This window comes from Homo sapiens, chromosome 5, assembly GCF_000001405.40.
Source record: "Homo sapiens chromosome 5, GRCh38.p14 Primary Assembly".
NCBI lineage: Eukaryota > Metazoa > Chordata > Mammalia > Primates > Hominidae > Homo > Homo sapiens.
The window spans coordinates 77,860,098-77,872,416 of NC_000005.10; the positions used below are offsets into that span (position 1 = coordinate 77,860,098).

The 12,319-nt window shown below is 44.5% G+C and overlaps 1 annotated feature.

Annotated features, from left to right (window-relative positions):
* Nucleotides 11,786–12,319: an enhancer, noted in NCBI's record as "NANOG hESC enhancer chr5:77167707-77168240 (GRCh37/hg19 assembly coordinates)". NCBI's record gives its function as "activates a minimal SCP1, AML or CMV promoter by ChIP-STARR-seq in naive H9 embryonic stem cells {active_cell/tissue: H9 hESC(naive)}" and the evidence as "EXISTENCE:reporter gene assay evidence [ECO:0000049][PMID:30033119]".

Below are 12,319 nucleotides of genomic sequence, written 5' to 3' on the forward strand. Positions count from 1 at the left end.
CTTAGATTTTTGCGCATATTTTCTATCATCCTAAGTGCCTGCACTTTGCCTTCAATAAGAGTATGAGATCTGAGTGCCCTGCTCCCAGAATATGATCAGGAGATACTAATTGGAATTGGAATTCTTAAGACTCCTGGGTTGGAGTCTGTTTGCCACTGATAATAATTGGGTGACCTCAGGAATGCCCCTAACCTCTCTGGACCACAGTGTCTTTGCATACAAAATTAGAGGTTGGCCAAGATCAGAAGTCACAAATTGGCAGCCCAGAAATTAAACCTGGCCCACAGACATATTTTATTAGGCTCACCAAGTATTTTTAAACATTTTAAAGTTTGAGATATCTAGCTTTTCTTTAAAATTCAGAAGATCTGGCAACAGTGAACTCAAATTCTTGGGAAAAACTCACTGTCACTGATGGGGCATGGATTGCCATGTAGCCACAGGCCCCTCTCTAGCTATCACTGCTGGGCCCCACTAGGCATTTGCGTTTGAGAACTCTGGGATAGATGATTGTTTAGGTCCCTTCCAAGTCTAACATTTCACTTATTCATTTGATCATTTATTCATTTAGTGAACTTTCTGCATGCTATTACATTAGACACTGGAGACACAAAAATGAATATGACAGAGTCCTTGCCCTCAATGAGTTCAAATTCTTCTTATAGAAGAGTGCTTAAAAATATTTACAACACCGTGAAATATTTGCCAAACAAGGCTCATATCATGTGCAGTAGGGTCTCAGAGAATGGGTCATTTCAAGGAAGAGATATCAGGAATCTTCTTAGAAGCTGCTAATATTTGAGCTGGTTTTGTAATGCATCAGGTGGACAAGAGGACAGCCTAGGCCTGTGCTCAAAACAGTCCATGGACTAGCCCACCACTGCTAGTGATGTATAACATTTTACATAAAAACCTCAGAGACACTAGAACCCCTGAGAAGAAAGCTCGGGATAAAGTATAATGTAATGGTATGTCAATGTGTTCCTGCCACAGACCACCAGGAACAAATGGATTTGTTGACATATTGCAAGGAAAGAGAACATGCACCATGAGGAACCATGAGGCAGCTCAGTAATAGGGGTTAGAAAGGACTACTTATAGGACTTAGACTTCAGTTAGGTGATTTGGAGGAGCGTTCAAGGAAATAGAGGGTTCTGCTGTGCATTGGATTCCATCAGGAAACAAGATAAATCTTTGATTATCTTAACAAATCTTATCTAAAAGATGGGAAGAATGAAGTGAGGCTAAAGCTGTAATTGGCAAAGCAGCAGCAGTCGCTTCTATTAGCCTGATAAGGGAATGTCTGATCATTTTTGTGGTTTGGACAATGTTCTTGTTCTGGTTTGAGATCAGACACGACTATGAAGGGGTCTTGATTTGCCTTATCATGATATTCACAGAGTGGCCTTGTCTGGAGTTCTGTGAAAGTGTTCAACAGGAGACTACTAAGGCCTAGCTGTGAGGGCCAGGCAGGCTCCTAATGGCAGAGGCAGCTTTTCTGTTTCTCAGGTCTTAGAGTCCTTGAGAGCTTCAAAGGCTGGAAAGCCCTCTATCAATTTCTCTCCAATTCCCTGTTTAAGTTTATATTCAGTTCATGCAAGACTTATTTGTCCAATGCTGATGGGCTCATTTAGAAACTCTGTAAAGCTACTCTCCCTGGAAAACCTGCCTGGTCAGTCCTGACCATGTCCTGGACCGGGTCTTCATGACCTGGGATCACACAGCCAGGTCTGCCCAGACCTTTTCTGCTCATTTTCATAGACAAACAACTTGTTTCTGCACAGAGCTGCCCTCTTGTTGTTAGCCTCCTGTAAAAGCATTTTTCATCCAAAGATGTTCACATTTACTATCACCCTATGAAATCAAGTACCTCAGAACTGGAAATGACTAACCAGTCTTCCTGTCACCAATTTCTCCTGAGTTCAGTCCACCTTCTCTGTCACCAGAATCACTGTCCTACATCTCTATTTTAAGGAGTCCCTGCCAGTTCTCTCCTCCTCCTCCTGGAGAGAGAGCGAGCTCATTTATTGTACAACCCAACGTCCTTGACAACCCAGCCCCAGCCCACCTCTGTGGTCTCATCTCCCACCGGACTGTTTCCATCCCCACACACCCAGGAACTTCCCCAGCGGGATGCCACTACACTACTCTCTCCTTTGCTTTGCCCGGCCAAGAATTCATCTTCACCGCAGTGTTAGTAACTCCCTTTCCCTTGCTTATTGTACTTATTTTTCATATATCCAGGACCACATGTGTCTTGTTGGGCTATGATTGTGATCTGTCTCACTCATGGAAGGCACAATGTCCTGGCATCCCCAGTGCCCAGCATGATGCCTGACAGAGAATACTTCCCGCAAGAATCTATAAAGAAAACCTGTATACAGAGAGGGACCCTTCTACCTCATTCTACAGCAGTAGCCTTCGGCCTGTGTTAAAACACTTCTCCTGATAGGCACATCACTAGCTCCCAAGGTGGCCCATTTTAATTCTCAATAGCTTTGTTAGAAAGTTCTTCCTCATATCAGTCTCAGATTTGTCTCTCCCCAAAATCCAATTCCTTTTGAACACTTGAAGTCAGCACTTTTTTTCTTCTTATCTTCTCTTTTCCAGGAGAACACTTGGGTTTTTTCTCTCCTGGTTATTCCTCTGGACACATTCCACTTTGCTACCATCTTCTTAAAGCATGAGGCCCAGAGCTGGACACAATTTTCCGGACATGGTTTGAGGAGTTTAGAGTAAAAGAGAACCATCAGCTCCCTCATTTTAATCTAAAATCCCATTTGATTATTTGGCCCCATTGCCATTGAGCTATAGTCAATTCAAAGCCTTAGTCTTTCAGGATTTTTATGTTTTATAAATGTTGCAGCTAATTCATGTCTCTCTTAACTTGCAAGATTGATTTTTTGGACCCATAGATAGAAGCTTGCATTCATCCCAGTTACATTTCATCTTTTGTATTTAGCCCATTATCTTATCCTAAGGACTTTTTGCATCCCAGTTCTCTTCCTGATTGGCATACTCTACAATTTCGGTGATCATGCTCTTTACACCATCTTCCAAATTAATACAAATGCGAGACAGAATCAAATTAAGCTCAGAGCCCTTATTCTCTTTCCTTCTGCCTTATTTTCTTTTTCTTCCTCTCTTACACTCTTTCCTCCCTGCCTTGTTCCAAAAAGTTGCAAGGCTGCTCTCTAGGGCATTATACTACAAAACTCCTAAGATGACACATATTCAAATCAGCTCATTTCCAGAGAGCCATGCAACTAGTTATGAATCCAACCAAGGTCCTGGCATCACACACATTGTTTCTGTCATGCCTACAGGATACTGTACGAGGCAATCCTCCCTAATTCCAGATTTATTAGGCCTATGATAATTCTGTCTTTTGTTTGTTGTGGCTTGTCCTGAAGACCTTGAGGCCAGTTTTCTCTTCTAGGAGCTCACAATCAATCTTTTTAGTGCTTTGTTCTAGAATCTTCTTTGGAACAAACAAGATCTTCTTTTCACAACCCCAGTGACATTTATATATCTCCTATTTTCTAAAACATGAAAAATAATGGTATCTGCAGAATATCTGTATGTAGTAGCTCTACAGTGATATTTTCCTAAGGTTTTTGTTTTGTTTCTAAAAAGAAAGTCTAATTTAATCTAGAAACTCGATAAATTTAAGCCACTTCAAGGGGAGCACACCAAGTGTAGACTTAAGACATTTAATATAATTCAGTGAAGATCTCAAGCTTTCTAACCTGCCTAGAGTTGTGTCGGCATTTCTCTTCTTCCTTCCATCCCTACCTGCTATAAGTGAGCTTTAAGGAAGTTACTGAGCACTTTGGTGAAAGGCTAGTCTAGTTCAGGGATGGAGAATCATAATTGATCCTAATCCGTGATCTTAAGTCAGCTTTTCTGTCGGTGGAATATACTTCAGGATACTTAAAATTTGAGCCTGAAGATGCTAATCTAACCCAAACCTATGCCAATGTGTAGAATAATTGGAAAGGAATTGGCTAAGAACGTTTGACTCTCCTCTCCTGCTCTCAGTAGTCCTCATGGGTTGCTGGCCAGTGGGGAAAGATAAAAGAGCCTCAACAATAACTTGACCTAACCTCAATAGTGCAGGTAGATATTGTGCTGAAGTAGGAAAGCTTTGTAGAGCTTTGGGTTCAGCAAAAAGGCCTGAAGTACGTCTTTCAAAGTCAGTTCAGACATTACTTTCTATAAGAACATTTTTAGAACTTTCCCCAGGCTGGGCTGAGCCCCAGAACATCCTGGGCACATCTCTGTCACCGTCTTTACTAAAGCATTTTGAAATGACATTTTTGACATGTTGGTCTGCCCACGCCATACCTTGATTTCTTTGCAGGGTAGGGGCTGTCTTATTCATCCTGGGCTCCTGGAGCCTAGCACTGTGCTTGGCATGAAGCAGGGGTTTGACACATATTTACTAAATGTAATGGAGTGATTTCTCAAGGCTTTTAAGTTCATAATGTCCACTGTACATTTTGTTCGGCTCTCCCTCTTAATTTTAAAAGGCCACATGAAATTTAATACATTATTTCGGATTCATGAATACTTTGCTGATTACATTAGTCTTGTTAAAGGAGTCCATTATTCCAGAAATCTTGTTAGAAGAGAGCTCTTTGTCGCTGCAGAGTTTTCCATGGATTGCTGGAGCTTGAGAGGACAGGGGGTGCCTCATACCTTCTGCTCTCTTAGGATTCCAGAATGTTAAGGAAGAGGAATGCCTTAGACATCATCTCATCAAGTCCCCCAATTTGAGAATGAGAAACTCCAGTTCGGAGATTTTTCCAAAGACACAAGAAGGTGACAGGGTCAGGATTAGAACCCCAGTCCTGTGAGCCTAAATGCCCATTCCGTGACCCTCCCTGGCCACCCCATGGGATCTGCTAACTGGACTTTTGGCTTCCCCACCCCGTTTAGGTTGCAAACTGTGTTCCCTGCTTAGTCTGTGGGGCTGGGCCAGCCTCCAGTGGAGGAGCAGCCTACACAGGTCATTGCAAGGGTGTGGGGCCTGAAGGACAAATAAGTGGGACTTCCTGCTTGATCAGCTGCCCCGGCAGTCGCTCGTTCCCTGTGTGTGGTTGCTGTGGCTCCTAAAGTGTCCTGTCATCCTCCTTCTGAAAGAACACTTGCTAGTGTCGACATCTGGATGAGGAAACAGAGGCTCCGATGTGGCAGTTGGGAGCGGTCCTTTGTCAGAAGCAGCAAAGGTACTGATTTGCTGTTGGAAGGGTGGAGGCAATTCGTGGACAGGGGCTCTGGTAGCTTAGAGGTGGCTGAGGTAAATGTTGCTCCAGGAAGCTCTCCCCCTGAGGGCAGGTGGGTTGGAAAGCCACAGCCACGTGGGCTCCAAGTGGGCTTTCAGGGGCCTTGGGCACATTATAAGGGCACGTGTCACAGGCGGAGTCCTTCCTCTAAAGAGCCTAAAGAGCTGGTCAGGCATGCGTTAACTTTAGGCTCCAGGCCATTCAACATCCCCCACCCGAAGGGAAGCAGCAGACCCCAGCCCTCCTGTCCCCATGGAATGTGTGGGTACCTTGCAGTACGCCAGGGCCCGGGATGGGGCAGGAGCCTCTGGGTTCTTCTGTGGTTCTTCTCTCCCTTTCTAGCACATGCAAACACAAACCTTCTAGGGCTTTTCCTTCGTCTCCTTCTAGGAACTCAACAGCCTGTGCGAGGAGGAAGGGGTACGATTCCCCACTTCAGACAAGCAGCAGCCACAGACCAGCCCCTGCGCTACTACAGGTGCCTTTCCAGCCTCCGTTTGTCCACTCTGCTCCCTTGTCCTCATTTTCCAGTGAAGAAGAGCGGGGGCATGTGGGGTGCTGGGGCAGTGCGAGGGGTGCTAGAAGTGTCCTGCTAGGTGTTTCCCACCCCCAACAAAGCTCTGTTGCAAATGATGTTTTCGTTGTATTGTTTAATGATAATCATAATAATAATAACAAAACTTTGACTTGAATAGTATCTAGAACTTCTAACTACTTTCTAGAGTTGTGAAATGGGAAATGAACAGCGAGAAGGGTGGTGGGCAGTCCTGGGGGTTGTGGGAATGTAAGTGTGTGCCCATCCTCATGCACCTGGTCTTGGACCCCTCGGAGGTGTCTTGCCTTTCCTGCTCCCCTTAGCTCCTACAGCAGGAGACGGAGCAGGAGTGGGGCGGGTGGGAGGGAGGCAGGGTGGATATGGGCGGGCCTGAGGACTAAGCAAGGGCATGGATGTGGATGCCAGCAGCTGGCAGAGTGCCCAGCATGTGGTAGCCACTGGGTGGGCATCAGCTCCCTGTCTTCCTCTTGCCTCCCACTCAGCCCCAAAGGAGTGGAGCCAGGGTGGCTGCATGTGGCCATGCAGGTTGGGCACTGTGAGCCTCAGGGGCACCATTCACGTGGACAGCAGTGGAACCCCCTGGAGTTCCAAAAAAGGTGGCCCTGCCCTGCACTCTCTTGCTTTGTTAGGACTTCTAGATACGAGGCATCCGACTGCTGCCCTGGAGGGAGGGCAAAGGTATCCTGTGCTCTGTGGATTACCCACTATGGTTCAGGCAAGCCCAGTCCTACTTTCATGAAATGTATGGTTCTGTTGGGGAGGTGGCCAAGGAGCCAGGTCATTACAATGCAGTATATGGCCGCAGGAGGACAAGGGCTATGAGAGCACATGGGAAGGCAATGACCCAGCCATGGAGGAGGTGAGGTGGGGGGTCTCCATAAGCTTCCCTAGGTGCAAAGATGTCCAAGGGAGCCATTATGTAAAAACACCTTACAATAGGCCCTTCTATGATATATTGCTTCCCAATCTGGGTGTCTTATAAGCAGACCAGATCTGGACAGGTAGTTTTTGAGGACAGAAAAGTCCAAGGTTTCTTTAGTCTCCAACTTCCATTATCCAAATGAACAGTGGCGGCCACAGCCCATCAGTAAGGACATTCCACATTTCACACTCTGAAGTGACAATGGAATACGTGCTTCAGAGTTCAAGGAGAAAGGACAACTTTGCAAAGTAACTGTCCTTAGTGGCAGAGGGGTTAGAAAGTCTACAATTTAAGAATTTGTCGCAAAAGCAATCACATCACTGAGATATTCAAACAATCCAGTCAGGCTTCTTCTCTTCCTATTATCTGAACTTTTTTTTTTTTTTTTTTTTTTTGGGTAGCCAAATAAGAATAAATATCACCAGTAGGGGGAATAGATGTCTAAAAAACAAACTCAAAAATGTTTTTCTTACATGAAAGTGGCTGTGCACAGTACTAAATGATTTCCATATCAATATTTCTTTGTTTATGGTTTGCTTTAAATGCCTTTCACAAAGATCATACAAGAAAACAAAAATGTTAAATACATAAAATGCACTTTTTAAGGGCATTTTGGCAATAGAGCCTATTCAACAATAAAATTTAACATTCCAGACCCATATTTCACTGCCTTAAATAATGCTGCAATTCTTATCACAGCCTCCAGGCACAACCCGTGGCTATAATACACAGAAAGGAATCCCCGAATGTCACCAAGGACTAGAGCTCCAACTCTTGGGGGAGAGCCCCCAAAATCTGTTTTGAAGCTAGAAAAATTAGTTCAATCTATATCAGTATGAGTATTCTGTTTAAATATATAAACAGGTATTCATATATTTACCACTTGTGCAGATAATTTAGACAGTGTTTGTTGTTATGAGGAATTGCTTGGATTATGTTCTCATTTTAAAGTTTTTAGTCTTTTTTTCCATGATCTAACATGCCATAAACACAGCCCAGGTCCTGCCCATGTCTTCTCTTGATATGCCGTCCAGGCCAGTGGTTTATGATATTAGAACATAACCCCACCCCTGGCACCTAATGGTGAATATGCCAGACAGGTATTCACACAGAGAGGGGCACTAAGAGGGGAGGTTGCTAGAGTTCACTGTGGGGGTGTGTGGCCGGCTACGCATGTGTTTGTGTGTGTGCATGTGTGTGTGTGATTACTGCCCAGTGTGGCTGACACATCCTGTGCCCACAGCCACCAGCAGATGCCACCAGATTGCTCCCGAAATAATCAGTTATACATGCCAAACTTAATGAGCAGAAGATAAATCAGAGGTGGGATTAGAATTCCAGGCCCTGAGAGAACGGCCCTCCTGTTTGGGTTAAGAGAACAATTCCACAGGGGCAGCAGCCTGGCACCTGGCTGAGTCCACTTCAGCTGGTCCCATCCCAAAGCCCTGGCTCACTTCCTGTGTGCTCTCTCAGGGCCTGCAGGCCGGAAGAGGCAGGAGTCCCAACACTCCTTCATTTATTTCTCTATTTAGGACGAGTTCTCCCATGCACAGGGAGGAATTCACAGAGATTGAGCAGGAAAATCAGTTTAATTACAAGAGAAACCAGGAAGAATGAGGCAAAAATAAGGTCAGCTTAAAGGTTTAGAGATGTTCAAGGGGCAGGCGGGATGGTGGTGATTTGCGGGGAGGCAGCACGGTTCTGCTCGGCTTAAAATTGGTGCCAGTGAAAAGACCAGGGAGAACTTTCCACAAACCTGGCTGCACTCACCTTTCTCTGGGCAGAGGCTTCTCCTTTCTAGGCCTGGAGAAAATCCTGCCTTGAAATCCCAAGCTCTTTTTGCCGCAACCGCCTGGTTCTCCGTCCCGCTGAGGGCCACAGAAGCACGTTTGCAGGCTGAAATAAACTTGCGCACCTCATAAAAAGAACCAGGAATGATGCTACCATTTCATGGGATATTACACCATAATGATGATAATCCTCCCATTTACATCTGATCTTCCACAGACTTAGTGAAATTAGCTTCCATGCCACCTAGCAGGGGTAATTTATGAGATAAAAAGGGAACCATTGAGAGATAATGTAATGAGTATTTACTGTATCCTTGATGGTGTTCTCATCACTGGGGAGAAGGGGAAGCTGGGTGGTGAGTTTAGACGACCGCATTTCCGAGAGCCGTGCTAAAACGTCGGGGGCCGGGATAGCTCTGCAAGACCGCGGCATCCCCCCAAATCCTTCCCAGAAATGCTGTGCAAACTCATGCCGACGTTTGTGCTCATAGGCTGTGAATTTCTTCTGCCAACCTGAGCTGAAAGAAGCTAGAAAACTCTGCGTATTTTACTTTCAGAGTTAATGGGAATAAAATACCTCAGTGGATGAGTGCAGATGTGTTTGATACAAATAGTCATTTTCCTATTTGCTGCCTCATTGAGCATGATGAATGATTGGAGTCAGAGAAGCGGCGTGATAAATGGCAGCACCTTGGCTCCATTGCATGCCCTATTGATTCTCCTTCTTTATTACTCCTACAACCCAGCTGGTTGCTTTGCCCTCCCCACAAGCCGTTTCTTGGGGGAGGGATTGCTTCCTAGAAACCCAATTTATGGAGAAGGGGAGTGTGGCATTTTCTTACCATAGCAAAACCCTGTGTTTAGCTTTCGTTAACATTTACAAATATAGCCCTTTTTTGGTGACAGACACCTTGACTGGGGGAAGAGCAGGCGGTCGGGGAGGGTTTCAGCCATATGCAGTTTCCTTTCTCTATTGCAAGGCAAAATATTTTAGCTGCCGTGTTTTTATCCAATTGAAACCTGCATCTCTAAGTTCCAGTCAATGCAAAACAGGATAAGCAAAGTAACTGTCTGCCACGTTTATCTGTGTATCTATAGAGATATTTTCAGGTTATTGTCAGGGTAAACCAAATGCCAGTTCAGATCTGTGATCAACCATTTTGCGTGATCCCAGCCTTAGTTATCCACAGACAACACACGTTCAGGCTCTGATGCATGTTAGATTGGGTGAACAAATAGTACATAAGAGACTGGTCTGGATTAGCAGGGAGCTTTGTTTAAAAAGACACTGTATGTCAGCCTAGCAGTTAATCCATTAAGTAAGAAATGGCAACGCTTCTCCAATGGCACCAAGAGAGACCTCTTTTAAATACATCAATATTTCAAACTGTTTTGCTCATCTGTTATAACTTTTCTGTTTCCCTTTCATGGGTTGCCATATATCTCGAACCTTTTTGAGGGGCCAAATGAGACTCTGAAAAGCAGAGGCATTAAAAAGAACTTTTAAAATGAAAGTAGCCCCTGAGGTGTAGAGGCCTCTCTCAGGCTGAGTCCCTTCATTCTGCAGCCTTCCTAGCAGGGTCAGGGGCTTCTCAGTGGAGGTGCTCACAAGAGGGAGGCCAAGATCCCAAAGCCAGAGGCCTAGATTCCAGATCGTACTCCGCCTCTTTGTAGCTAGGTCAAGTTCCACTAAGAAGCCATGATGAACTTTGCTTTTCAAATCTGTAAAATGGATGTGCTAATGCTTACTTCTCAAGTATGCTGTAAGGATCCAGTCTTTTAATGATGTGAAATGTGATACAAACCCCATAGCATTATAGAAGACATTATTAACAGAATGCAGTTGAAATCCTAACATCCAGGATCATAAACTTGCTCACCTATGTGGTTCAATGTCATATTTATGTACCTCCCACCTAATTCTTTTTTTTTTTTTTTTTTTTTGAGGCGGAATCTCGCTCTGTCACCCAGGCTGGAGTGCAGCGGCACGATCTCGGCTCACTGCAAGCTCTGCCTCCCGGGTTCACGCCATTCTCCTGCCTCAGCCTCCCAAGTAGCTGGGACTACAGGCGCCCGCCACCACGCCCGGCTAATTTTTTGTATTTTTAGTAGAGACCGGGTTTCACCGTGTTAGCCAGGATGGTCTCGATCTCCTGACCTCATGATCTGCCCGCCTCGGCCTCCCAAAGTGCTGGGACTACAGGCGTGAGCCACCGCGCCCGGCCTCCCACCTTTAAATTAACTACAGTGGTTCTCAAACCCTAGGGTGTGCAGTGACAACATGAGGAGCTTGTTAAAAATGCAGATTCTTTTTAATGACTAAGGGGTTTTACTCTAAAGCAGAGGTGTCCAGTTTTTTTAGTTCCCTGGGCCACACTGGAAGAAGAAGAATTGTCTTGGGCCACACATAAAATAGACTAACACTAATGATAGCTGATGAGCTAAAAAACAAGCAAACAAAAGTCATAAAAATTTACAATGTTGTAAGAAAGTTTAAAAATTTGTGTTGGGCCGCATTCAAAGCTGTCCTGGGTCATGTGCAGGCCACACACAGGCCGCTGGTTGGACAAGTTTGCCTCTCAAGTGATACAAATGTTTTGAAAGTAGATAGAAGTGGTGGTTGCCCAGCGTGGTAAATGTACTAAAGCGTTTAAAAATGCTTAGTTTTATATTATGTGAACCTCAACAAATGATTTTTAAAATGCAGAGTCCTTGACTTGTCCCTCTTGGATTCCGGTTCAGTTTGATGTGGTGCCGCAAAATTTTCATCTTAAAAAATCCCGCCTCACCTCAGAATTTCCCGAGGCATTTTAACATAAGGCAGAGGCAATGCTGATGTAGGTGGTCCAGTGACTATGTTACTTAGAAATATTAAGAAAATACCACCTGGGAAATAAGGAACTTAATACTTTTTTTCAGATGGGGAAAAACTAAGAAAGAGTTAGGCATCAATTAACTCTGTTAAGTTGTGTGAAGAGAACAGCCAGAATTGAGTTGGGAGAAACAGACTTTTGGTACACAAATGTTGCTAGCTTTCAAAGTGTTTTACAATCTTTCCTAAAAAGTTTCTTGCAAAAGTGAACACAGAGCAAGTCCATGGCCCACCTAAGGTCATGCCAAGTGCAGACACTACTTTGGAAAATAGCTTTTCTCAACAGGCAGATGCAGGCCTGACTCATTTCTGAAAATAAAATTAACGTTAACACGAGAAAAGGTGCTCTTACCTCTGTCTACTTGCACGATTGTATAGGGTTGAAAGCCCTCGGCCAAGGTTACAGAAACACCACGCGTTTAGAAAATAGCCATTTGGTAGCCACTTTGCACGGGCTGGAAGTAGCATGATCTAGTGGTCTTTGCCTTGGATCAATTTGTGCTCTGGAGCTTCGATACCCACTAACTCAGAGCATGCTTTTAACAGTTATCTAACTTCTCATTCCTGATCTGCCTTGCAGGAATGCAGGGAGCCCAAGCAATGAATTCCTTAAGAAGTCTTAGTTTAACATAAGGCAGGGCTATCAGTGGCTGGCCCAGGAGCCTCCTTAATGCCTCTTACGGTGTCAGAACTCTCTCCTAATCAAGAAGGATAAGGGTTGGCTCTCCCCACACTTAGCTGTGTTCTCCACAGAGCTGTAGTGGTTAGGTCCTAAACCCTATGTGAGCCTAGGACGATAGTAAACTTTTTTTAAAAAAAATTATTTTCAGAAAGTTCTTTCCTCAAAAAATTAAAAATACAATTACCATATGATCCAGCAATTCCACTCCT